Source organism: Homo sapiens, chromosome 3 (assembly GCF_000001405.40).
Source record: "Homo sapiens chromosome 3, GRCh38.p14 Primary Assembly".
NCBI lineage: Eukaryota > Metazoa > Chordata > Mammalia > Primates > Hominidae > Homo > Homo sapiens.
In genome coordinates, this window is record NC_000003.12 from 189,136,167 (window position 1) to 189,161,375 (window position 25,209).

General features: G+C 42.7%; 1 protein-coding gene across 20 annotated transcripts in view, besides 1 other annotated feature; it reads left to right on the top strand.

Moving 5' to 3' along the window:
- The window catches only part of TPRG1 (tumor protein p63 regulated 1), a 328,078-nt gene that overhangs the window by 138,940 nt on the left and 163,929 nt on the right, over window positions 1-25,209 (top strand). For 13 of the 20 annotated variants that reach the window (XM_047448032.1, XM_047448034.1, XM_047448030.1 and 10 more), the window contains one exon: window positions 11,418-11,481. The exons of 1 other annotated variant lie outside the window; for it this stretch is intronic. The gene's annotated coding sequence lies outside the window, so the exon portion shown is untranslated. Of the gene's footprint in view, window positions 1-11,417; window positions 11,482-13,938; window positions 14,971-15,355; window positions 24,664-25,209 lie in introns of those variants that run through there. 6 more of the 20 variants (XR_001740120.3, XR_007095667.1, XR_007095668.1 and 3 more) reach the window with 4 other exon arrangements.
- Window positions 1,142-1,643: an enhancer, noted in NCBI's record as "NANOG hESC enhancer chr3:188855097-188855598 (GRCh37/hg19 assembly coordinates)". NCBI's record gives its function as "activates a minimal SCP1, AML or CMV promoter by ChIP-STARR-seq in naive H9 embryonic stem cells {active_cell/tissue: H9 hESC(naive)}" and the evidence as "EXISTENCE:reporter gene assay evidence [ECO:0000049][PMID:30033119]".

Sequence of the window (25,209 nt, forward strand, 5' to 3'; positions counted from 1 at the left end):
TAAATGAGCTTACAGTTCTAGTACAGTGTTCAGCCTCTTCACTTCCACCATGATTCCCTGTGTCCTGGTGGAGGGTGTATGCTGGGGCATGAGAACATTGTTTCAGAAGGGAAGGTGGGACAAATATATCAGTAGTAATTACTGATCCTTATGGAAGGGGACTTCTGGGGGTGGAGAAGCCGTTCAAGATGCTTATGGAAGGAGACTGCTCAGGGAGGAGAGCCGTTTCTGGAGAGGAGCTATTAGGGAACATCCCTGAAGCTGAGTATCAATGTCTTACATTTACTGAGCACTTTCTTCTTGCGGGATATTGTGCTCAGAACTGTGAATACATGTGAACCCTCAAGCAGCTTCTAGTTAATAGTTAGGCTTGCTAAAGACTCCTGGCTTCAATTAACAAAAAATGTCTCTGCTAACTGGACAACAAAGATAAGTTTACTTTAAGAATGCGGAAATTTCAGAATTCAAGGGCAAGAAAACAGCTAGGTCTCTGCCCTGCCTCTCACTCTCGTTACAGCGCTGGGCCTCATCAAGGTTATTATGCACATTTGAAATATATTTGCCAAAGTATCTTCCAGTATCCTAAAATAGATAAATGACTCTTCAGTTTGGGGGCAATCCATACATTCCCAGTCTAGGCAATAATTATACTTCCCTGTGTAGACCACTACAGGATTTATAGAGCATTTTAATGTCTATTACCTTATTTGGTCTCCACAATCATCATTCAGTCACTCAATGATCTTTACTGAGGGCTACAACATACCAGGTGCTAGGATAGGTGTATGGAGACAATTTTTAAAAAAATGGACATGACCCCTGTCCTTATGGAATTTGAAAGTCTGGAAAGACAGAGTTCATATTTTTCTTATTTTAGAGACAAACTAAGGTGGAATGATTTGTCCCAGCAAGGTGGTAGAGCTAGGACTCAAACCTGGGCTTCCCATTCTGAATCCAAGACTGTGATTTTGCCACGCCTGCTTTGCAATCATTGGGAAATCCCTGTGTATCTTCCAGGAGTTAACTGAAAGAAAATAATGTCAATGAAAACATCAAAGTGGCAAATAAAGAAGCCCAAAGTATCAACATTAAGAAAGCAACAAAATAAACAGCTTCTGAAAACCCCAAAATGTGTGTGTGTGTGTGTGTGTGTGTGTGTGTGTGTGTGTGTGTGTGTGTGTGTTTGGGTGAAGTGAGCTCTCAAACCAAAACAAGTAACAGCAGCAATAGCCACTTGAAAACAGAACAAAACAAAAAAACAAAAACAACAAAAAAAGAATTTTTCCCTCAAATCTGGAATGCAGCAGGGTGTCCTTAAGTTGTACAGAGCAGTGTTTGATGTGAGCATCCAGGCCCTGCTGTGAACAGAGCTCTACATTCCACACAGCCCTTATTGACTGGCTTTGCTGGACTCAAATGTGAGCAGGCTACAGCTTTGCCTCTGGCCATTAGAAGGATAATCTTTCTTGGGGGTCCCAGTAGGGTGCCAAGTGGGAATGCAGTGAGCGGGAGAGAGAGGCAGGAGGCCTATTTTGATAGGGAAGTTCCGCATGTCTACAACACTTTATGCCTGCTTCTCTCACGTGAGCATCCTTCCCCCTTCTCGTGTCTCTGTATGTAGCCAGTATAGGCCTTGGTTGGTGGATGGGTAGAAAGAAAAATGTGATCTTCCTTTTCCTGCGCTATGATGAGATCTTCTAAAGGTGAATCAAATGGACAATTCCATTTGTCTCTGTGCCTCTCTATTTTTAAGCTGGAAGATGTAGCCTTAGGGTACCTAATTCCATAGATAATAGACAAAAATAGAAAGGAAAAAAGAGAGCTGCCTTAGACGTCCATTAAAGCCTTGAATAAGACATAGTGCCTGCCTCAAGAGGAGGGACACATATGTGTAAACCATAGTTCCATTATCACATAATAATGGGCATGTACAAGTTTTGTGAAAGCCCAGGGGAGGAAGTGACAATACTTCTGGGTGGGTGTGTTAGAGCTGGGTCCTGCAAGTAGGAGTTTACTCAATACAAAAGTGTAATTGGAGTTCAGGAGAGAAGAGACAAGGGAAAAAATGTCATGTAAGCAAAGGCTTGGAGGTGTGAAAGAGCATGGTGTTTTCAGGGAGTATTTGAGGAGACACTGGTTGTTTTTCTGGTAACAACACATTTTGTGTAATGAGATAAAGTCAATGATTGCTTGGGTTTTATGGCAGGGCTAGCTACATTAACAACCAACCAACAAATACCAGCGGATTAAGAGAGCAGACTTTCATTTCTCACCCACTTCCCAGCACAATACAGGTTGGCAAGGGAGTTATGCTCCAGGCAGTCATTCAGAGACCCAGGTTCCTTCCATCTTCTGGTTTTCTCCTCCCCTTAGTTCCTCAGGTCTTTGCCACTCAGCTGGAGGTTGGAGAAAGAGAATGAGGATCAGGCACGCATAGGAAGTTTAAAGGTGATGTCTGGAAGTTGTGTACATCACTCCTGTCCATATGTATGCCTTTGGCTAGAACTTAGCCACCCAGCCACACTCAACTGCAAGGGGTCCAGGGAATTAGAGGCTAAGGGGAGAACACATTGTTAAGCAGATCGGTGTCTATCACAGCTTTGTGTCTGGAGAACAGGAGGATGGAGAGCATGAGGGCTTTATGCATATAAGATAGAACTTGATGAAAGTGTTCTAGCTTCCCTAGGGGACAAGCATGTAATAAAGGGGTCAGGGAGGGCTCTAGGTGAAAGGTGCCCTGTGGCCACACTCCTTGGGGAAAAGAAGATGAATGATTCTATCTGAAAGGTGTTTGTACTCAGACAGAAAAAAAATCTGCTCCAGCCATGAGAAAATGGACAAAAAATCACTGTAGCTCAGCTCTTAAAATGGGAGCAAAAGAAACCCAGCCAAGTAGACAACTTACAGCCCCAACATTTAGAAAGCACCATGTGGTTTACTGTATGCTCACACACAAGGTTCTCAGCTGATCCTCACAAAGGAGGAGGACCTGGTTGAAAATTATCCCTGTTTTAGAAGTGGAAAAATGTATGCTCAGAGATGTTAAATAAGTTGCCAAGGGTTGCACAGTAAGTAAGAGATGCATCTGCCACTGAAACCCACACTGTGCTCTTTGCAGTTTCACAGACCCTCCTCTGTGTAGCGGAGATACTGACCACACTTTGGGGAGCTGACCCGGATCCAGCCCTGGACTGGGGGCCAGGATCCTAGGGAAGCTCTCCTCCATCACCCAGCCCTCTGTTTGCCTGACTTCTGGAATCAGTGAACCAGCTCCTCATCCAGAGAGCACGTACATGTTAGCTGTCAAACAGTGCGTGCCGCATCTGACAACCCTAATATCACTGTTTGTATTATCAGACAATTACCAGCCGAGCTCGTATTCATAATTTGACTAACAACTCGCGACAATGATTATTTTTCCTTTTCTGGCAAAACAAATATAGCAGCGTTTTCTTTTCAGCATCAGCGCTGATGCTCCTTGGCATTCTATCAGCTGAAGGATTTTTTTTTTTTTTTCAAAAAAAAATGTTAGTCGTACTCCCCCACATCTCGCTAACTTTACAGTCCCCCATGGCATCTGTGTGCAGTGAACTGAGCTGTTGAGACTAAATGTAATTTGCAATCAAGCTTCTGTTAACATGGAAATGTACCGGCTGGTCTGCTGCAATATGGGTTCTCATTCTGTCTAGCATATGGTTGCATTAAATCCAGTCTCCAGAATGTCTCTTGTTACCACATTGTCAATCCGTGCAGAGCAGAGAACCCTAAAAAACCACTAAAGGAACATATTTTTGGAATTGGCTCTTCTATTGGATCTTGACAAGAGCTGTCCAAAGACATACTTGGTTACTTGAAATGAACTAGCCCTGTCAGATCTATGCACACACACACAGAGACACACAATAAACTTGAAAACTGGCTTGATGCTCTGTAGTCGTAAGCATAGGAATCATGCTGGAGGACAAAGGAAAGAAGGTGAAGGACTCAGCTTCACCAGATACACTTGAGACTCCTTTATAGGTTTTCTCTTGGTATCTCAATATTTAAGGCCCAGAAAATTAGAGTTGGACAGGACATAAGCAGTCTTTGTGGCTAAAAGCGTAGGCTCCTGAAGTGGATGGACTTAAGCTTGAATCCTGACCCCAGCCCTCCCTAGCTTGGTGACTTTGGGCACATTCCGAAGCTTTGTGTGCCTCAGTTACTTCATCTGTAAAATGGAGTGGACGAAGTGTACCCTCACAACTTACAGCATTATAGGGGATTAAATCCCTACACACGGGACTTATGTCAACAAATCATTGCTATTACTTAGTATTAATTACCTCTTCCTCACCAACCCTATTCCCAAATCTGATGCTTAAATACCTCCTACAATGTTACCACTATTATTCTCCTTCTCTTGTCTTGCACCCCGCTGGTGTCCAGAAGGCCAGTCTCTTCTAAGGCAGCCCGTTCTTTTCCGTACAATTCTGTTAAATGGTTTTTTCTTATATTAAACACAAATCTTACCTGCACCTTGAGCCTTTCCTTTGGGTCATATAGAAAAGCCTAATTCGGTGGCAGTCCTTCAGGTATTTCAAGAGGGTAATCATGCACTCTGTAAGTATTCTGCAGTTTCATTTGGTACCTTTCATTTCTCCTTTGAATTATGCAGTTTTGCATCCCCTTCCTAGGCAGACACCTCCTCTCGAACTTGCCTGGGTATGTCCGCGCCAATCTTGATTTCTGCAGCCCAAGCTGAGTGCCGTGTTTGCAGCTGCTGTATCACCAGCCTGCAAACCAGGTCCTACCTGGTGATGAGTAAGGATTTGCCTGATTACTTTAACACAGCTCAAAAGTGGACCTATTTGCACACAAGTACATCAAGCTTTATAAAATAGACTCTCCTTGAAGAATTAACAAATAGCAGTTTTCAGCAAATCATACTTTAAATTCAATGCAGGAAAAAGAGCTGCATGCCTACAGGTCTCTGTATCATGTTGCAGAAAAAATCCTTTTTTCAAGGAAGTAATTTCCATCCTTATACATCTCTTCTGTAAATCTAAAGTTCTGTAAGTTGTATGGAATGTGCTTTAAGTAAGAAACACACACAGACGGTGCACTGTATCTCACCGAAGAGATAGGATGCAATATCCTCCAACATTTAAAGGGCACTTTGGGAGGTCAGGGGAAAATGGAGGGGAAGACATTCTAGCCATTCATTCATTCATTCATTCATTCATTTGTTTAAAACCTATTTGTGTGCCAGACACTGTGTTAGGCACCAGGCATGTTTCTAACAAGCTGCTCTTGCCACCAAGAAGCCGGAAGACAGGTTAAAGCCAATTAAGATATGCCAAGTGCAGGATGCTGTGGGGCCATCTCACCTAGTCTTGAGTAGCTCAAAATCCAGGGATGGGGATAGATATGAAGGAAAATAATTACATTACTATGGAATAAGTGTTATATTTAAAGACTGTACAAACTGCTCTGAGCACTTTGAGAAGAGAATTTGTTCATCAAATATTTTATTGAGCACCCAGTATTACTGGATCTACAATGAAGAGCAAAACATAGTCCTTGAAATTTACCAACGTTACAGTCTCAAGTATTTGTGTGTGTAGTCTTAAATCAAGTTCATACACTATATTTTTTATTGATTGATTACTTTAAAAAGCTGTGACAAGTGTAATGAAGGAAGAGAACAGGATTCTAGTAGAAAATTAGATGGGGCCCTGACTGGAGAAGTCAATGGGATATGAAGGATTTCTCCTCCAAGTGGTATTTAAGTGGAGACCTGAGAGATAAATTGCAATAAGGATGACAAAGATGGAGACAAGCACCTGTTCAAAGACCTGAAAGAGGGACCAAGTTTAAGGAGTCTGAGGAACTGGGGGAAACAGGGTGACAGAAAGGGGGTGGTCAGGAATGTCTTTGCTGAGCAGGTGGCTCCACTAAGGAAGACTTAGAATGTGCAGAGGAAAGACAGGTCATTTCGGGCAGGACGGGCAGCACGTACAGAGGACGCGTCCAGGTCTGGGAGAAGCTCCTTCCATCTTCGTGGTGATGCGAGGTGGTGGTGAGATGTTCAGGGAATGTGCAGAAATGGAGAGGAAAGCTGGGCCAGGTCATAAATGGCTTTATAAACTACACCAAGGGATTGATTATACCTGCAGACCCCACAAAAGCACTGAAGATATGCTAGATTGTCTTCATTTTCTTTTTTTAAAACCCATATCCCATGCTTGTGAGTAAGGAGAGGGTAGAGGCATGCCTTCTGTATCTCTAGATCCTACCCCCTGCCCCCATTTTCAACGATGGGTGGTTCAGTTAAATTCTATCTCCTCCTTGTCACTTTGTTCCCAGCTCTGATTTGTGATCTGTGGAAGCTTTCATTTTGCCATTCTCTGATTCTTGTTGTAGTGACCTTGTGCTACAGTCTCTTGATATGAGTGAGGGGTCAGCAGCTTCTGAAGACCAAAGAGACTCTAACTCAACCCTGCATGGTGCTTGCAACCTGTTCCTGCATTCTGACAGGAAGGTTTCACCCAAAGGTGTGAAGGATGAATCACCCCATGATGCAGATTATTTTCGGCTGCCAGTTGGCCATCTCTTACTGAGATCACAGAAACCAGAGGCTTGTGAGACTGTTTAGCCCAGTGCTCAGGCTCAGTGGAGAAACTCATTAGCTCTATTTAATTAGAGAAAGCAAACACTTCCAAACCTACTTTAATGTCAGCCTACTTCCCACCACCTCATTAATATATTTTTAAAAACTTTCACCTTTAATGTGGCAATGATTTTCTTAATTCTTTCAGTATTAGAACTCCATAGATTTAAGGCATTTAGCTAGAGAACAAGTAGAAAGATTATACAAGTGATAGTCATGATTCTTTGAACCAGTATCTTTTGGTATTACTAAATAAGAGATTTTTAAACTCGATTTTCATGTATAACCTAGATGAAGGTTGTTGTTCTGGTTTAATCCTATAATATTGCAATTTTTAGGATCATCTTTTTTTTATATAGGATTTTACATTTTCCAAAAGGTTTTACATCCATCAGATGATTCCCACAAAACACTGAAACAAAGTAGGAGCCGCTGGTAATATCTCCATTCTCCAGATGAGGAAGTCTGGGCTGAGAGCAGTCAAAGGATTTCTCCGAATGACATCTATATGCTTCAAGGTTGACAATGAGGACACAAGTTTCAGGCCCAAGTGGCTTGAGATACTGCCTGTCGATGATAAATAAGGAAGTTAGGAGGAGAAGATGGTTGTCTGAGAAAAGTGACAAACTCAGAGTAGGATGTTCTAAATTGCAGCTGACTAGAGAGCTGGAAGCTGGATGCATATTTGTATGGCTCTGTCATACAAAAGCTGCTCCAATACTGTGTGAGTATGGTCTCCTCAACCTGGAGGGGGCCAACATTTTTCTTGAGTCAGAATCTTTTCCAGGTAGCCTGAGAACCCACATTAGGAAGTAACCTCTTAATTCATCCTAGACACCTCTTTGTAATCCCTTGGTCTTTTACTCAGGCTGACCCCAACCCAGACTTAGGTGTAGGTGACACTGATTTCATAACATGTTTTCATATGTTTTACCACAATTGATTCCCACAGCACTCCTGTGAGATTTGGATTCTGGTCTCTGTCAAATCTACTGGAAAATGGGACCCTGTTAAGATGCAGGCTTTTCCAGTAGGAAACAGCTAATGGTGGAAGACTGGGGGCTTGAAGCTTGGGCCTCTCTCTCCAATAGCGTGACTTATTCAATCATTTCCGGTGAAACTCCCCCAGACACTTTGCTTTCCTCTTCCATTTCCTCTCTGTGTAGCTTCCTACTTTAGGATCTTCAGGAACTCTTCCCACAGTCTAATGACCAGATCTGCTTTCTGGAAACATTCTCATGTCAGTCATACATGTTTTACTACGATTTTAAAACTTTGAGTTATCTCTGTTAAGAGTATACATATTCTCATTATTGTCTTCTCCTTGCTCACTATAACAAATACTTCTTGAGCCCTTGCTATGCTCTTGACACTGGGAGTACAATGATGAACAAGCAGACATCACCTACATCCTCCTGGATTCAATATGGTTGTGGCAAGAAAGCTTTGTTTCCTATAAGTGGACTTCAGAGATCCACATAACTTATAGGCAACCATTTGTTCCTGCAATTTCAAGGTATTTTTAACCTTTAATTGTGGGTTTAGGAATATTTAGCCAAATACTCCTCCAGGTGACATATAGGCAATGAAGAGGAAACAGTACATAAAATAGTGATGTGACTTCACATTTCGAAACAAAGAGGCAGGTGGTTCTGCTGTCAAACTGAGCATTAAAATATAACTGGGGGTGTAGGTGTGGGAGTTTCTCAATAGCCCTGGAAACAGCTAATATTTTGGTAGATTCACAGGATTTTCTCTTTTAATAAAGGGGATTACTTGCATCTTATCACAGGACTAAACAGTGAAGCCAGGAAATAGTATGAGTTTCCTACTGGTTTTTGCTGAAATTTTGGAACAGATCATTACACAACTGATTCATGGGTATTTTGAAGAAAAGACACTGATCACTAGAAGTTAATAGGAGTTTACCATAAACAGGTTGTGTTAGACACACCCCATTTCCTTTTCTTATTACGCCACACAACTGGTAAATCAGCAGGATGAGGAAGTTTTAGCAGTGGACTTAACACGACCTCTTGTGACGTGATTGCACATAAGCAGGTGAAATATAGGCAGGGTCATGTCTTACACACTGGTTTCACGGGCAGGTGAATAAAAATGACGCTTGAGCCTTGCTAACTGTTCCATGTAAGCTAGAAGGAGGTTTTTGGTGAGGACTAGAAGCCTTTTATTCTGTTCAATATTTTTTGTTAATTACTTGAAAGATTATCTGGAAGAGGGAATACCCAAGTATAAAAATGACACCGGCCGGGTGCGGTGGCTCAAGCCTGTAATCCCAGCACTTTGGGAGGATGAGGTGGGCAGATCATGAGGTCAAGAGATTGAGACCATCCTGGCCAACATGGTGAAACCGCGTCTCTACTAAAAATACAAAAATTAACTGGGCGTGGTGGCAGGCGCCTGTAATCCCAGCTACTCAGGAGGCTGAGGCAGGAGAATCATTTGAACCCAGGAGGTGGAGGTTGCAGTGAGCTGAGATCGTGCCAGTGCACTCCAGCCTGGCAACAGAGGGAGACTCCATCTAAAAAAAAAAAAAACATGCCAAACTAAAACAAAAATCAAATACCATAGACTAACACAAAGAGATGGCGTAATATAGTAAGGAGAAAGAGTTCTGGCATTGGAGAGAGAATGGCCTAACCTTGCAGCTTGTCTCTGACCCCTTGACAGTGAAGTAACATTGAACAGAGACTTACTGTTTCTAAGAGTTCAGTTCCATCACCTATAAGGTAGCAATAGGGTTGTTTGTGATTCAGATCAGATGAGAATTGAAAAAGAAGTGTGTCAACAGCTAGTATCATGCTTGGCACACATTTTCAATAAATTAATAGCAATAACATTAATAATAACAGCAAATTAATATCTAAAATGATCTAGAACTTCTAGAACACAGGACTGAAAACAATGAAGCAAATCTGAACTTAAAAGATATGCGTGGAGATGATATTGGAGGTATCAGGACCATATTTATGACACTCAAGCTGCTAAGAAGTGATTAACACATGTCAGACACTTCAGAAAGTACGTTAATGATGACTTAATTATCTGTGTGTGCTTGAGAAATCACAAAGGAGAATCTTATATTGATATTATATGTGTCTGATATCTTCATATATATGAATGGCTGCCATATTGAAGAGAATATGCATATCTTTATTTGCATTTTTCTAAGAGAAAGCCAGGCTAAAATTGGTAGTAGTTAAAAAGGGAGACAATCTGGATAATATTAAAACCTTTTTCTGTAATAGTCAGAGCTTTACTATCATTGATCTGTGTGGCTTGTGGAACAGGAGACCCTTCATCACATCAGCTGGTTTTCCCTGTACTGAAAAACCAGGCAGTGTTGGTTGCATGATGAATGTATTAAAGCTTTGTTTATGCATTGCCGTGACTAAAGATCAGTTTCATGTTGGGCAGTGAGTTAAATGCTGGTGGCCAAAGGATAAAGATGTGACCTCCACCTTCAGTTAGGTCACAGTTAGGAAGAGAAGGCGCCCGTAAGTCTCTCTGAGGGATCTGAGGAAGACTTAGACAATTACTAGGAATTTTCCAGGCAGATATTCCATTTAAAGAGAGTAGCCAGTGTCAAGGTTAGACGTATGAGACATCATAATGGATTCTCAAAAAAACAAATGTTGTTGGGAGTAGACTTTTCCAGGAAGGCAAGGACCTGCAATGCCCTGTACAGAGTGTCAGGGACTCAAGACGCCTTCCCACTCTGTCTGTTGTATCTTGTACATACCCATGTTAGAGCACTGATCCCCCATATTATAATTGCTGTGGATGCATCTCCTCAACACACTACAAGTTCCTTGAGGGCAGAGACCATGTTTTATATATTCTTGTATCTTCACTGCTTACCCTGAGCTATCCACAGTTTACATACTAAATAAATGCTAATAAATAAAAAAGTAATTAAATGAAAGCAATATGCATCTCATTTAAAAGATGAGTTTTGGCATGATTTAGGAAGAGGTGTTTGGTTCTTAGAGGTTTCCAAAGCTGGGCTGAATGTAACACCAAGAATCATTTCTAGAGAGTTGTGCCTTTTCCACAGTACTTCTGCAAATGCTAATGCTATTATTTAGTATATGGACACAGGTACTGCACTAAACACTTTTCCTGCCTTATCATTTAATCTGCACAGCGTCCCCTCTGGGGTCCACATGTATTTTCTCCATTTATTGATAAAGAATTTAAGATTTGGAGAGGCTAAGTAACTCATCCAAGGTCATAGATTCAGGGAGTGACACAGCTGGGATTTGAACCCCGGTCTGTTTGACTCCAGAGCCTGAGTCTTAACCACTACACTATCTACAGAAGGAAGAGGAGGGAAGAGTTATCCAGTGATCCCATCTCCAGGGTAGACCCTTGAGATTCCCTGTGAATTAAAAGAGACTTGCTTAGTTAAAAGAAGCTGAGCTCTCCAGAATCTTTCGGCCTCACATTCTAATATAACCTCTGCTCTAGCAGTGGAGAAAGAGAAAATCCATAGGGGTAGGATGAGTTTAGAGGACCTGGAGCATTGTGGATGCAGGTGGATATGGCAGCCACCCCTCCCTGCTCTCTACCTGTAGCACTACTACACCAGCAGACGCAACACTTGGTTAGAGAGCAGAGGAAATTACAAAATAGCCATGTCGGAGGCAGAAAAGAAGTGGAAATTGAGACTCTTCTTGCCTTTGAATGTTTTGTATCGTCTGGGAGACCCACTGGGATGTTTCTTTTTGTTTTTCCTTTCGACTAGGATGTCTTCCATTTGGAAGCCCCTTTGCTTCTAAGAAGTTCCAGAGACCATCCCAGGCCCACAGGTAAGGAGGCTAGGGCGTACCTCTAAGTTCTATCCTGGAAGAGAGGGAAAAGTGACCTGTAGGTCTCCGGCCTGAAAAGCACAGTGCTGTCCAGTGGAACCCAGGGGAGATAGTGATTTTAAAAGCAAGCATGGAATGCGTGGCTGACTTTTGCTTGTTGCTTGAGTCTGGCAGATGGGGGTGGGCAGGAGGTTAAGGAACTTCAGCAGACGCCAGCAGTCAGTGGATGTGGGTGGTCGTTCTTCCCAAGTGCTGAAAAGATGGTCACCTTGCACTTGTGAAGATAAAATTCAAACCTAAGTTTCTCTGTCTTGGAACACAAACAGCATAATCCTTTCTCAATCTTCGAGAGGAGTGTTTTCAAAAAGTAGCAGCATATAGGGAATACAAGGCTGCCTAAGGTTCTGATTCACAGATGTGAATTCTGCCCAGTCAAAAGTCTTGGTGTTTGTAGGATTTGTTTGTCTGCAAGGACAAAGATGAAAGGCAAGTTGCTATAAAACCTTTCTGCTCCCTCCTGATTGGTAAGCAAAAATGTCCACACACTGCCATCTGGTGGGCACTACTGGTCACTGTCGTTTTAATGGGAAAGTTTAAAGTTTACTCTAAACTTAGAAGGGGCCAGGCAACTCCTAGTCTTCAGCAAAACAGCAACGTATAAAACACAGTTCCTGGCTGCAAAGGGCTCACAGTCTAATGGAAGAAACGGACATGCCCAACACGTGGTTACAACTGAATAAGTACTATTTTAAGAAAAGGTGCCGAGTGTTATCAAAGCAGAGGACCTCTCTCTGGGAGTTTAGGGAAAGCCACCTTTGAGCTGAGTCTGGAAGCATGCCTCGCACTGTGGCAAAAAGGAGGAGAAAGTTTATTTTAAACAAGGGGCACATCATGGGTCATTGCATGGTGTGAGTTGTTAGTTCAGCCTGGCTGGTAAGTAAGGAGCATGGCAAGAAGCTATAGAAAAAAGGCTGGGAAAAGTTTAAGCCAGACCATGAGAGGCCTTGACTGCCTGACCCAGGCAATGAATCGGCTCTAGATTATACAGCCAGAATATAAAGGATTCAGATTTGGGTGGTAAAGCAATATGAAAAACAAGTGTCGGTACACACGCTTTTCAAACATTTGGAACTCTCTCATTACTTGAAATCACCTGTGGAAACCCACTATGTGAAATGGATAAAACCATAGTTCTTCTGGTCAAAGCAGAAGTGGGGATTCAGAGCCCGAAGAACTTCCACCATCCCATTTCTCCCGTTCCTGGAACATGCGGATGCCTTTGGGTAATGCCTAAGGCTCAGCAGACTCTTGCTTGACACTGCTGCTGTGGGCGATTGCTTGACCTAATGTGACTATCTCTGCTCTGGTGTTAGCACCAGCTTCGTCCTATCCCTCCTATGTCATAGGTATCCATAAAGTAGGTTCTAGATCTTTTTCTATCTCAGCGCTGTTCTCAAGATTCCATTTATGGTAATCTCTATCTTATTAATAAATTAACGTTCCCAAACAATCTATATGACCTGGTCCCTGGCCCCTAGCTTTATATTGCTAACGGACACGTGTAGGGAGGTGGATAGAAAGCAGCCATCTCTGCAGTGTCTGTTAAGCATCACTGTATGCTGTCTAATGTATTAATTCATGTTAAGTATCTACAGCATATGTGCAGCACAGATAATCTATGATGGAGTTATGAGAAGTTGTTTGATCTTACTCAGGGCACGAAAGTTGTTGCTTTCATTCCAAGAACAGCACTCTGAGAAAGCATTCAAGAGCTTTCTGATGAGTGGCTGAGTTATCAAGATCTCTAGGACTTTCTGTTCTGTGAAGACATGGAGCTTCTAGATGGCATTTGCCACCAGAGGAGAGATGTTAAGAACTGATGAAGAGTGACTGGTCCCCTGATGGGCAAAGACTGTTTTGTTTCAGCCAACGTGGTTATCTTCTGCCCTCTTCAGAACAACACTTCTAGAGGCAAAACACAAATTCCACCCACCAAACAGCATTTCCTCTCATTCTTTCTCTTGTTCCTTGTCTTTACTCACGCCTTGCCCACTCTCTCTGCATGGTGGGGTCAGTTTGCTCTCACTTTCCCACACTAACTTCTCTGTTTCGAGCCTGTGTCCGGAACTGCCTCCTTCTTGCCATCTGGTAGCTGACATCTGCCACATCTTTCCAACCAGAGCCCCCATCTTTTCTTGGAGGCCTTTAAAAAAAAAGATGTTAACTTTCATTGCATGACTTTTCCCAGTACATGATTATGTACGCAGTGTTTTCCACATGGTTGAATAACTACTTTAGCATCGACTCTTGCCTGCTTTACTTAGGTTAATTGTTATTTTCCTGAGGGCACACTGACCAGTGTCCTTTGATGTACCCAGTGCCAAATTCGATAAACAATAACCCAGAATATCACACTTTATAACTAATGAGTTGGGGCTGTTCTATGTTTTATTACAGCAAATGGAAATGCAGTTCTGCTTACTACCTTTGATGAAGAGAGTAAAGTGGAAGTGACTTGGTGAACTTGCAGGCTTTGTAGGGATTTCTTTTTTTGAGACGGAGTCTCACTCTGTCGCCCAACCTGGAGTGCAGTGGCACGATCTTGGCTCACTGCAACCTCCACCTCCTGGGTTCAAGCAATTCTCAAGCCTCAGCTTCCTGAGTAGCTGGGATTATAGGTGTGCACTACCACGCCGAGCAAATTTTTGTATTTTTAGTAGAGGCGGGGTTTTACCATGTTGGTCAGCCTGGTCTTGAACTCTTGACCTTGTGATTCACCCGCCTCGGCCTCCCAAAGTGCTGGGATTACAGGCATGAGCCACCGCGCCGAGATCTTTGTGTGGATTTCTACTGTTGATTTACCTGCTTCAGCTGCGACTGTTCATTTTCATGGCTGTTTCCCTTCATAAAACTGTTAACTCCTTGAAGGAAGGAGACGACAGTGTGAGGCTTGGGACCAGGATCACAATACATGATCAATAACTGCTTTTTAAATGTATTTTCAATAGAGTTATAAGGATTCATCTGGGCACTGAAGACATTTGGGACCTCAGTGAAGTTTCTCCGAGGCCAGATGGTCACATTGATTTTCTGGAATCATTTTGAATAAAAATGAGCGAGGTGGTGAACACAATGCAAGGCTCTCCACGTACTGTCTGGTATTGTTCAACCAGCTCCACGACTCCCTGAGGGCAGAGATGAGCAGATGTTAATGGATAAAGCCAGGTGGGATGATGTTATAACATTTCTCCTACAGCCCCAAATCTCCCAACTCCTGCATGTGTGACCTGAGTAAGACTCGGTGCAAGAAGACATCAGTGTTCCCATCTGTGAAATGAAGGAATTGACCCCCGAGGATCTTCCATTTCTGACAGTGCTTTGGATTTCATTGGTTTTGTCACAGGTACCCCCCAAAAGCCTCCATCTTTGGATAAGTGATTAAAACTGCTGAGTAATTTTCAATTAATAAAAGTTCAGTGCTGGCTCTCATTTTCTTCCAAAGATGTTTGTGGAAAGACCTGTGCAAAACACTTCAGATGGCAACCCACCTCCAAAGTGGGTCCCTTAACACCAGTCGTCCTTCAATAAGCTCAGTTATTCAGAAAAGCAAGTGAGTTTTCCAGATATAAGATACTGTATTATTAGAAACTCACCAATATAGAAAAAGCTGATGTGGGTTGGGAGATAGAGCTGATATCCCAGCAACAGTCTTCTTACTTCATAATCTAAGTATATCAGAGACGTATTTTGGAGACACAAATTTGACCCTAAATATAGCTAAAACCATGCTATAGCAAAGGACTTCGTTGTAAGGTATTACTTTGTGCTTAATTACTGAGGCCATTAAACTCCTTTGGTTGTAAGAAAGAGAAACCTAAAGAGTTTAACAGCCTCAGTAATTAAGCACAAAGTAATACCTTACACCAAAGCCCTTTGCAGAAAGAGAAACCTGGCCAGGCGTGGTGGCTCATGCCTGTAATCCCAGAACTTTGCGAGGCTGAGGCAGGTGGATCACCTAAGGTCAGGAGTTTGAGATGAGCCTGACCAATATGGTGAAACCCTGTCTCTACTAAAAATACAAAAATTAGCCAGGTGTGGTGGCATGCCCCTGTAGTCCCAGCTATTTGGGAGGCTGAGACAGGAGAATCGCTTGAACCTGGGAGGCAGAGGTTGCAGTGAGCCAAGATCACGCCATTGCACTCCATCCTGGGCGAGAGAGCATGACTCCATCTTACAAAAAAAAAATTGATTACTTGATCCTCCATTATATGTCAAGTAATGGAGGATTTACTTTAAGGACACACTTGTGAAATAGTCCTCTCTGTCTTTACTGGAAGCCAGGCAAACCTTAACCATCAGGCCTTACAGAACCTGGAATAGGAGTATGGTCTGGATTGAGCAGATGTGCATGGCTTGGTGTGCTCTAGGGACTGCAGGAGCTAGAGCACAAGGCTCTTATTCTCGTGCTTCACCTTCCATGTGACTCAACTATTTTGTCAGTTTCTGCTTCCCTTAAGATCTGTTTTTTTTTTATGTTACCAAGGTGAACCATTTACTTCATTTTACAATATCTGGAGAGAAATGGTCTGAGGCTGTTTAATTACCATAGTCCCTTGAGGAGTTTTCCTTCAAGTCACACCATCGTTGCTGATTATCCTATATTTTGGCAACTCTTGGGCCATGGGCACTTCCTAGTCCAATCAGCTTTGGCCAGAGGCAGATTCTACTATACAGACATGGTCATCTCCAAATTAGAGGGAACCCCCAGCTCCAAGTGAAGGGTACATGTGGACGGTTTCCTTTATAAAGGGATGTGTGATGGTGGGACAGGCATGTCTGCTGCAGTAGGAATGTTTCATTTGGTAGAGAGGAAACATAAGAAAAAGTAGGATTGGTACCCACCATTATTATTAAAAAGTAGGATTGCTACCAGCCATTATTATTAAAAAGTAGGATTGCTACCCGCCATTACTATTAAAAAGTAGGATTCCTACCCGCCATTATTATTAAAAAGTAGGATTGGTACCCGCCATTATTATTAAAAAGTAGGATTGCTACCCAACATTATTATTAAAAAGTAGGATTGCTACCCTCCATTATTATTAAAAAGTAGGATTGCTACCCTCCATTATTATTAAAAAGTAGGATTGCTACCTGCCATTATTATTAAAAAGTAGGATTGCTACCTGCCATTATTATTAAAAAGTAGGATTGCTACCTGCCATTATTATTAAAAAGTAGGATTGCTACCCGCCATTATTATTAAAAAGTAGGATTGCTACCCGCCATTATTATTAAAAAGTAGGACTGCTACCCGCCGTTATTTGCACAGCTACCTTATGAAAGTAGTTTCACGTGTGTCTTAGATCACTTTAGAGGAAAGATATCAGACAAAGAGACCTGAAATAAATGGGAAAAACTTTTGACTTAAATGTAATATTCCTCTGACAGTGTACAACGTAAGTGGAGTTGGAAATTATGCCAGAGAGTGAGTTTGCCATCGCCAGGCTTTTACAAATGTCGTCATCCCTATGTATTGAGCACTGTTTCAGTGTGCAGATACTGGCTAGTACTTTTTTAAATAAAGATTTTATTTTGAGTAACCTGGCTATTAGTCATAACCTGTCTTAATTCACCTTCCCTAGAAGTAGAACCTGAGAAGGAATTTGGGTGCATGTGGTTTATTGAGTTTACACTCTTAAAAAACATCACCAAAGAATGAAGAAAACAGAACAGAGAAGAGCTAAGCAAGAATGTAATCATAGGTAAAATGCAGTCTTATTCTGATTCAGAAGAATTATGTAAAATTTGCACTGGAGAATTGTTCCAATCTGAGGCAAGGTATCTTGGATTTGTGGCCCCTGCATCACTCAGTCATTGGATGTTTGGGGTGAGGGGTGGTGTCACTCCCCAAGTGTCTCGGGGTGAGCCAGCTCCCATCAGCCCCAGGTAATTCTTCCTAGATCAAGTGTGTAAACTGTTAGCTGCAGCACCTGCCATAGCCGGGAGATGGGTATCCAGCTGGCAAATGGGATCTGGGTGGAGCATCAGCAGCATCTGCTGCAGGCTTCCTTGAGTCTACCTCAGAGAGCTTGTTGCAGGCCAGAAACTCTGGCTCGTATAGGCAAAAAGCAGAACTGATTGGAAGGAATAGAGGGCTGACTGATCTGAGAGACAAGAGGACCATATCTGGACTATGGCAGAAGACAAGGCAATCTTAGAGGACTAAGAGGACCAAGTCTCAGAAGCCTGTCAGTACAGTGAGGGTTTTTAAGCAATAATTGCTGGCCAGGACAGCATTTTGACTGGATGCCACTGGACATCATTGCAGCCATTCTAAGTGAGTTCCCATCATCTCTCCAAAGCCAGCCCTTTGGGTAGAAACACCCAATTGGCCAAATGTAGAGCACACATTTATCATTAGCATGCTTTAAATGGAGAGAGGATGAGGCAGCTGCTTTTTTCTTGGATGGAAGGAAGGCATTGCATCTCACCAATAACTCACATCATGCGATATTCTTCAGCAATTGGAAAAGGAGTTTGATGCTGAAGAGCAAAACCTGAGAGACAGCCAGAGTGTCTCCTGAAAGCTGGCAAAGTGAAGATTATTACCCTTATTTTACGATTATAAAAACTGAGGCTCAGAGAAGTAATTTTATTCATTGATTCAGAGAGATTAAGTTCATTCATTTGCCAATTATTTGTCGAGTGTCTGCTATGGGCTGAGCCTTATTCTAGGTCCTAGGGATTCAACACTGAACAAAATAGGCAAAAATCCATGGCCTCATGCAGTGTACATTTTTTTTTTTTTTGACATGGAGTCTTGCACTGTCACCCAGGCTGGAGTGCAATGGTGCGATCTCGGCTCACTGCAACCTCCACCTCCCAGATTCAAGCAATTCTCCTGCCTCAGCCTCCCAAGCAGCTGGGATTACAGGCTCCCACCACCACGCCTGGCTAATTTTTTGTATTTTTAGTAGAGATGGGGTTTCACTATGTTGGCCAGGCTGCTCTCAAACTCCTGACCTCAGGTGATCCACCCGCCTCAGCCTCCCAAAGTGCTGGGATTACAGGCAGGAGCCACTGTGCCCAGCCTGCAGTGTACATTTCTATGTGGTGTGTGTTGGGGGAGAGGGGGTTGAGACAAAAAATAATAGGTAAATAAAACACATAGTACATCAGACGGTGACAAATATTAGAAAGAAAAAATAAATCAGGAAAGGTGAGTGGGTTGGGGTGTGGTGGCTATATTATGGAGATGTTTCCATTTTAAATAGGGCAGTCAAAGTAGTCCCTGCTAAAACAGTGACATTTGAGCAAAGACCTGAAGGAAGTAAGGGAATGAGCTATGTGACTGTCTGTGGAAATGTCCTAGGCAGAGCGAACAGCAGGTGCAAGATGCCCTGAGGCCTGCATGCAACTGGCAAGCTAAGGGACCCACGTGGAGGCTAATATGGTTGGGGAAGAGGGAGCAAGGGGGAGCCGCAGGAGGAAAAAGCCAGGAGGTGGCTGGGCCTGGATCATGGGGGCCTTGGAGCCCATAAAATGTTTTGAGGAAGGGATTGACATTATTGGAATTACATTTCTAAGGGTAGAAGGATGGACAGAAGCAGAAAAACTGGTTAGGAAGTTTCTGCAATAAATTAAGTAAGTGATAATAGAGTCTGGGATTAGGGTGGCAGCTGTGGAGGTACTGAAAAATAATATTTTTGCTATGTTGTAGGCTGCACAGTGGCCCTCTAACATGTCTGTGTCCTAATTCCTATAAGGCAGAGACTTTGCAGATGTGGTTAGAGATCTTGGGATGGGGAGATTATTCTGGGTTATCCATGTGGTCCCTATATAAACATAAGGGTCCTTATAAGAAAAAACAAGCAGAGTTAGAAAGAGAGAAGGTGATTATTCATAGAAGTCAGGTATGGAAGTGTCAAGGGTCAAGGATATGGATACAGTGAAAGCATTCATCGATAGATAAATGGATAAAGAAAATAGAATGTTATTGAGCTTTAAAAAAGAGTAAAATCCTGTCATTTGTGACAACATAGATGAACACAGAGGACATTATGCTAAGTGGAATAAGCCAAGCACAGAAAGACAAATACTGCCTGATCTCACTTATGTGTAAAATCTGAAGATATTGAACTCATAGAAGCAGAGTGTAGAATTTGGTTAGCAGGGGTTGGAGGGTGAGGGAAATGGGGAGATGTTGGTCAGAGTACAAAGTTTTAGTTATGCAGGATGAATAAGTTTGGAGATCTCATGTACAGCATGGTGACTATAGTTAATAATACTGTATTGTAAACTTGAAATTTGCTGAGAGAGTAGATGGTAAATAGTCTTACCACAAAATGAAAAGTAACTATGAGAAGTGATGGTATGTTAATGAGCTTCATTGTGGTAATCATTTCACAATGCATAACTATATGAAAACATCACATTGTACACCTTAAATATATACAATATTTATTTATCAATTGTAACTCAACAAAGCTGGAAAAGGAAGAAGAGAGAAGGTGATGTGAAGATGGAAGAAACAGAGACAGAAAAGGTGCTATGCTTGCTTCTGGCTTTGACGAGTGAAGAAGGGGCCAGGAGCCAAAGAATGTAGTCAGCTTCTAGAAGCCGAAAAAATCAAAGAAAAGGTTTTTCTCTTAGATCCTCCAGAAGGAACACAGCCCTACAGATGCCTGACCTCCAGAACTATAAGTAAAAAAAAAAAAAAATTATGTTGTGTTAAGCCCCTGTGTTTGCAGTGATTTGTTACAGCAGCGAAAGGAAACAAACACGTGGGTTTTGGAGTTAGAGTCAGTGATGTTTACCCATGGATGAGACGCAGAGAGGGTCAGGGATAACGTTACAAGTTTGTGAAGAGCAACTGGAAGGATGGAGTGCCTTTTACTGGGGAAAACTTGTTTGGGGTGAATTTAAGTCCAAGCCCCTGGCGATACCCTTTCTGCTCGGGCTATGCTAAGAGGATAAACCAGGACAAAATTCATGGGAGATGCACCAGCTTAGCTGGTCAGATGAGTATGTCCACTGTCATCATCCTTCCCCTAATTTTACACCCTCTTTGCAGCCTCTATCTATCAGTATTTCCTCGTTGTTCTTTGATGGTAGCAGGCAGCACAGAGCTCAATGAAATTAGACATATATTTCTTATTTTAAGGTACAGCTGAGAAAATGTCTAGGAAATAAAAGTTGCTTTGATGTAAGCTGCATTATCTGGAGGCTTGTTAATGGTCTGTCACTGGGGTCCTCAGGTTGAGGAATGGATTCCTTAAATTGATAATCACTGAAATAGTCCCCAACGACCATAGTGCTGCTTTGGTTATCCTCAGCCAGTGACAAAAGTCATACTATTGTAGTCAAAGAAGCTATGCCAGGGAGTTGGAGCGCCTGGTTTTGACTGGCTTTGCTATTCACCTGCTGTCACTCTCTCTTTTTGAGCCTCAGCTTCCCCATTTGTAAATTGAGAGTGCTACAGCCAATGTTTTCAAAGAGGCTTCATGGGGCTGCTTCGCCTTGCTATTTGTTATGCATCTTAGAGAGAAGCTTGATCGAGCATTAAGCCATCCAGATCTCAGCATTGTTCTGTCTCAGGTCCTGAGGAGCAGGCACTGACCTACTTCTCCTGCCTTCTTTTCCCTGCTGTCCTATTGGTCTTTATTCTGACCCCAGACCTGTCATTGCTCAGGATGCAGTTAAGAGGCCTTACTTCTATTCCGAGTGGCCAATGACTCACATGTCCACGGGACTGAGCAGTGAGGACAGGCTCCATTCGACAGAGTCCAAGGCAGATGGTCATGCTTCCTTTCCAGAATGAACATCAAGTGCCAGGAACTCAGTGAGGGGCACTCTCCTTCTGACTTGGAGCTCTGTGAGGCAGCCACACAGGCCAGGTTCCGGCCACCTTCTGTTCTGGTTTGCCTAATGATGCTTTTGGCGAAAGACAAGGAAGAACAGCAAAAGCAAAGAAGGAAGCGATTCATCTGTTAAGGGAGCGTAGCAAGCATCCTTGACCCTCCCGAAGGAAGTTTCCATGAAAATAAAACACAAGCAGAACACCATGCTGTTGCCTCCCAGGAGGATGACAAATTTGTGGTATGAATGCCCTCCCTGTCCTCCTTCCTAAGCCACGCTGATGAGTTGGGACCTGTAGGACCCATGTGACAGGAGTTATTATGACTCCCTCCATTCCTTCTCCTTCCGGCTGTAGCAAATCTGGCCTGTCTGATAGCACAAGACTGAATGACTGGTGCTGAGTATTATACAATGTATGTTGTAGAGACTAACGAAGACTTAAATAAATAAGCAAGTGCATTTAGCAAGTGCATCCTTTTAGGATGTTATTTACTGTGGGACTTTATATATGTCGCATCATTCTTTTGCTTCTCACGGGGAGCACGTTTATCAAACAAAGATTCTGGCCAAATCTTTTATAGTCAAAAAGATATTGAATGTCAACATCATAGTCATTTACCATTGGAGGGTCCCTTAAACCACTTAAGACAGGAAATAGAAATCATCATTATTTCCTGGCTTTCGAACTGCTCTTACCCTGTTTCACTTACTTAGTGCACCACACAGTCCTGTGGACTAGGTTTCACTATTATTCTCTTTATGCAGCTGGGGGAACTGAGCGGTTGAGGGATCTAAAGCATTTTAAAAACTTGCAGTGGGGCTGGGCGCGGTGGCTCACACCTGTAATACCAGCACTTTGGGAGGCCAAGGCAGGCGGATCACCTGAGGTCAGGAGTTCAAGTCTAGCCTGGCCAATATGGTGAAACCCCGTCTCTACTAAAAATACAAAAATTCGCCAGGCGTGGTGGCTTGCGGCTGTAATCCCAGCTACCCAGGAGGCTGAGGCAGGAGAATTGCTGGAACCCGGGAGGCTGAGGCTGCAGTGAGCTAAGATTGCGCCACTGCACTCCAGCCTGGGCGACAAAGTAATACTCCATCTCAAAAAATAAAAAAAAATAATAAGTAAATAAATAAATAAATTGCAATGGGAAGAGCAGACACCACTGCTCTTGAAATATCCTTCAGCCTTTCCATGACTGTGGAGTTTCACCATCCCCAGCCCATCTCGTTCAGTTTGTCTCCATCTTGGGTTCTGTCTCCTTCCTTCACTTCCTAGCTCTGCCGTTTTCGTTTTGCACTCCCTCATCCGAAGTCTAAAACAAAATTGCTCTAATTTCACCACAGTTGTTTTGCCCACTTGTCTGAAGCTGTCCTCAAAAGTATCTTTTCTATCCAAAGAGCTCATCAAGTTTTTTTTTTGTTTTTTTTTGTTTTTGTTTTTTTTGGTCTTTTTGCCCCAGACAAAGGCAATTTTCCTCTTAAGAGGAATTATTCTGAAAGCTGTTAAAAAAGTGACATTTGCTGTCTCCGGGATTTTCTTTGGAGTAGCAGGCAGTTGTTCCTATGATCATGAAGATGTGCTCCTCTCACACCACATGTGCACCCTGCTGCCCTGGGTTTGTGCCATTTTGTTTTCACAACTTTTGGTTTCAATGCTAAATCATAATAAACTTGTAAAAAGTTTAACATGATAATTCGTTTGAGCCATACACATAAAAAAAGACAGTTATTTTTTTCAGGTTTTAAAATGAAGAGAAATGCAAGAGCAGACCCAACTCTGGGAATTATGACAGGTTTCACAAGGAAGGGGTCTCAGGTGTGTGGCATATCCTACCAAGTGGAGGTGGCATTTCAGGTAGAGGGAATAAGATAGGCAACGGCAAAGATGCATAAACTAGCATGGTATGTCAAGATAATAGAGACGGAGAATTGAGGCGAAAGTGAGAGATGATTCTGGAGGAGCAGGTTGGGAAGAGGGAAGGACAGAGTCCTATCCCCTGTCCTTATGATCTCGTACAACTCCCACATAAACTATAGAGTACAGCACTATCTAACGCAGCAATATTTGCTCGTGCTGATGATGTTATTTTTGTGTTCTTGTTATTACTAGCAATCTGAAGTCAGCCAGGAGTCCCAAACTGGAATGATCTGATTTCAGTGGCTGGTGTGGTTTAATTCTCTGGCATGTTGTTCTTAGTATTAGGAGTGCAGTGTGGAATGGGCAATGAGAAATTGGGCACCTGTTTCCAATTTCAGGCACTGCAGATTCATACGCACAGTCCTGGGGTAAAGGTTTTTGAGGTAGATAATGCTTTCATGGAGTGTTTGTGTATGTGTGTGTGTGTGTGTGTGTGTGTGTGGTGGTGGGGGTAGGGGTTCACGAGCTGCAAAGATCCACTGTCATCAGTTTTCACGAGCATTTCAAAGAAGTATGTGTGTGAGGGGTTGGCTTTCTCAGAGATTGTCACTCTATGATTAATCTCATAATAAATCCTAAAATTCAAATTCCAAAGGAAGGCCTTGTATGGTGGATGGTGTGTGGGTGGTCGGGGGGTCAACCGAATGCTAAAGAGAAAGTAGGCAGAGCTGTTAGCCTGAGCTGAGATGGGCTGCAGCCCTCCCGGAAGCTTAAGTATGTCAGCACCTCTGGGAGAATGGGTCATGAGTTGACTCTTCTGAAGGAGAAACGTGGAGTGAATGAAAAGATCCCAGTCAATTGGCAGGTTGACTAGAGATTTGATGGGGTGATTTCTTCTTCACAGTGGGAAGATGATCTCACATGGCAGTGAGGAGGGAAGAACCCTGTGCAAGTGATTTAGATGATTGAAGATAATTTTTTGGCTGGGGAAAGATGTGATAAAATTTGGTGCTCAGTAAATCCCTCCTCCACTTTAATTGGAAGTGTTGGGATCAGCCATCTATTTTGTGCTGTTGTAATTTTCTTTACTTCCATTTAGGTTTTTCTCAGCATTTAGTAAATTTCATTTTGAATGTATCAGCCTGTCTCAGTTGTGCAAAGGAAAACAAGGAGAAAGATTATGTTTACCTTGAGCTGAGAAGAAAAGAGGGATAGCGTTTCTCTCTCATCCTCCCCAACCCAACTCCCCAACCCAGGGAGACGGGGACTAGGCTTGGTGGCGGCTACAGGAATCAAAATAAAAGAACTCCAGGGAAAGGCAAAAGCTCAGAGGGAAGTGTTGGAATGCTGACCTTGCCCCACCCTGTTTACCTGCCAGACCTGTTTCCAAGGATACTCTTCTCTGGGGGATGAAAATTTAGATCATCACACGGAAAATACTTATCGTGTTCTTCATATTCAAGGTAGTAATGAATTCCTTCTTTATGTTTTTTGTGTGTTTGTTTGTTTGTCGTTGTTGTTGCTGTTGAGAATCTCTTAGTATGCTACTTATGGCTGGAATCTGTGGAGAAGAGGCAATGAGGCAAAATTGAAAAGGTGCCTCATAATGGCCTGGATTGGATTTTTGGCTTTGCCCTGTGGCATGGCCTGGACACAGAACTTCATTGTATTCCTTCCTTGTGATAAGATTGGTGATGGCTGCCTCCTGGGATGATCAGGACAATCTAGGGTAATGTGTTCAAAGTACCTGTTAATTCACTGGTATGTGACAGGCATTTAGGAAGTGTTAGCATATATTGTTTATTGTCTTTTACGACATACAACTGTAGAGGTAATCGAGTATGGAATTATCATGGGGGTTAGGGCTGGAGGGAACAGGCAAGGCCTCTCTCATTTTTCTTTTGCTATAGAAGCAGTACATCATGGAAAGGAGCTTCAGAACTGGACTATCTTTGCGGCCTTGGGGCAAGTTATTCACTTGTTTCTCCTCAGTTTCTTCTGCCATAAAT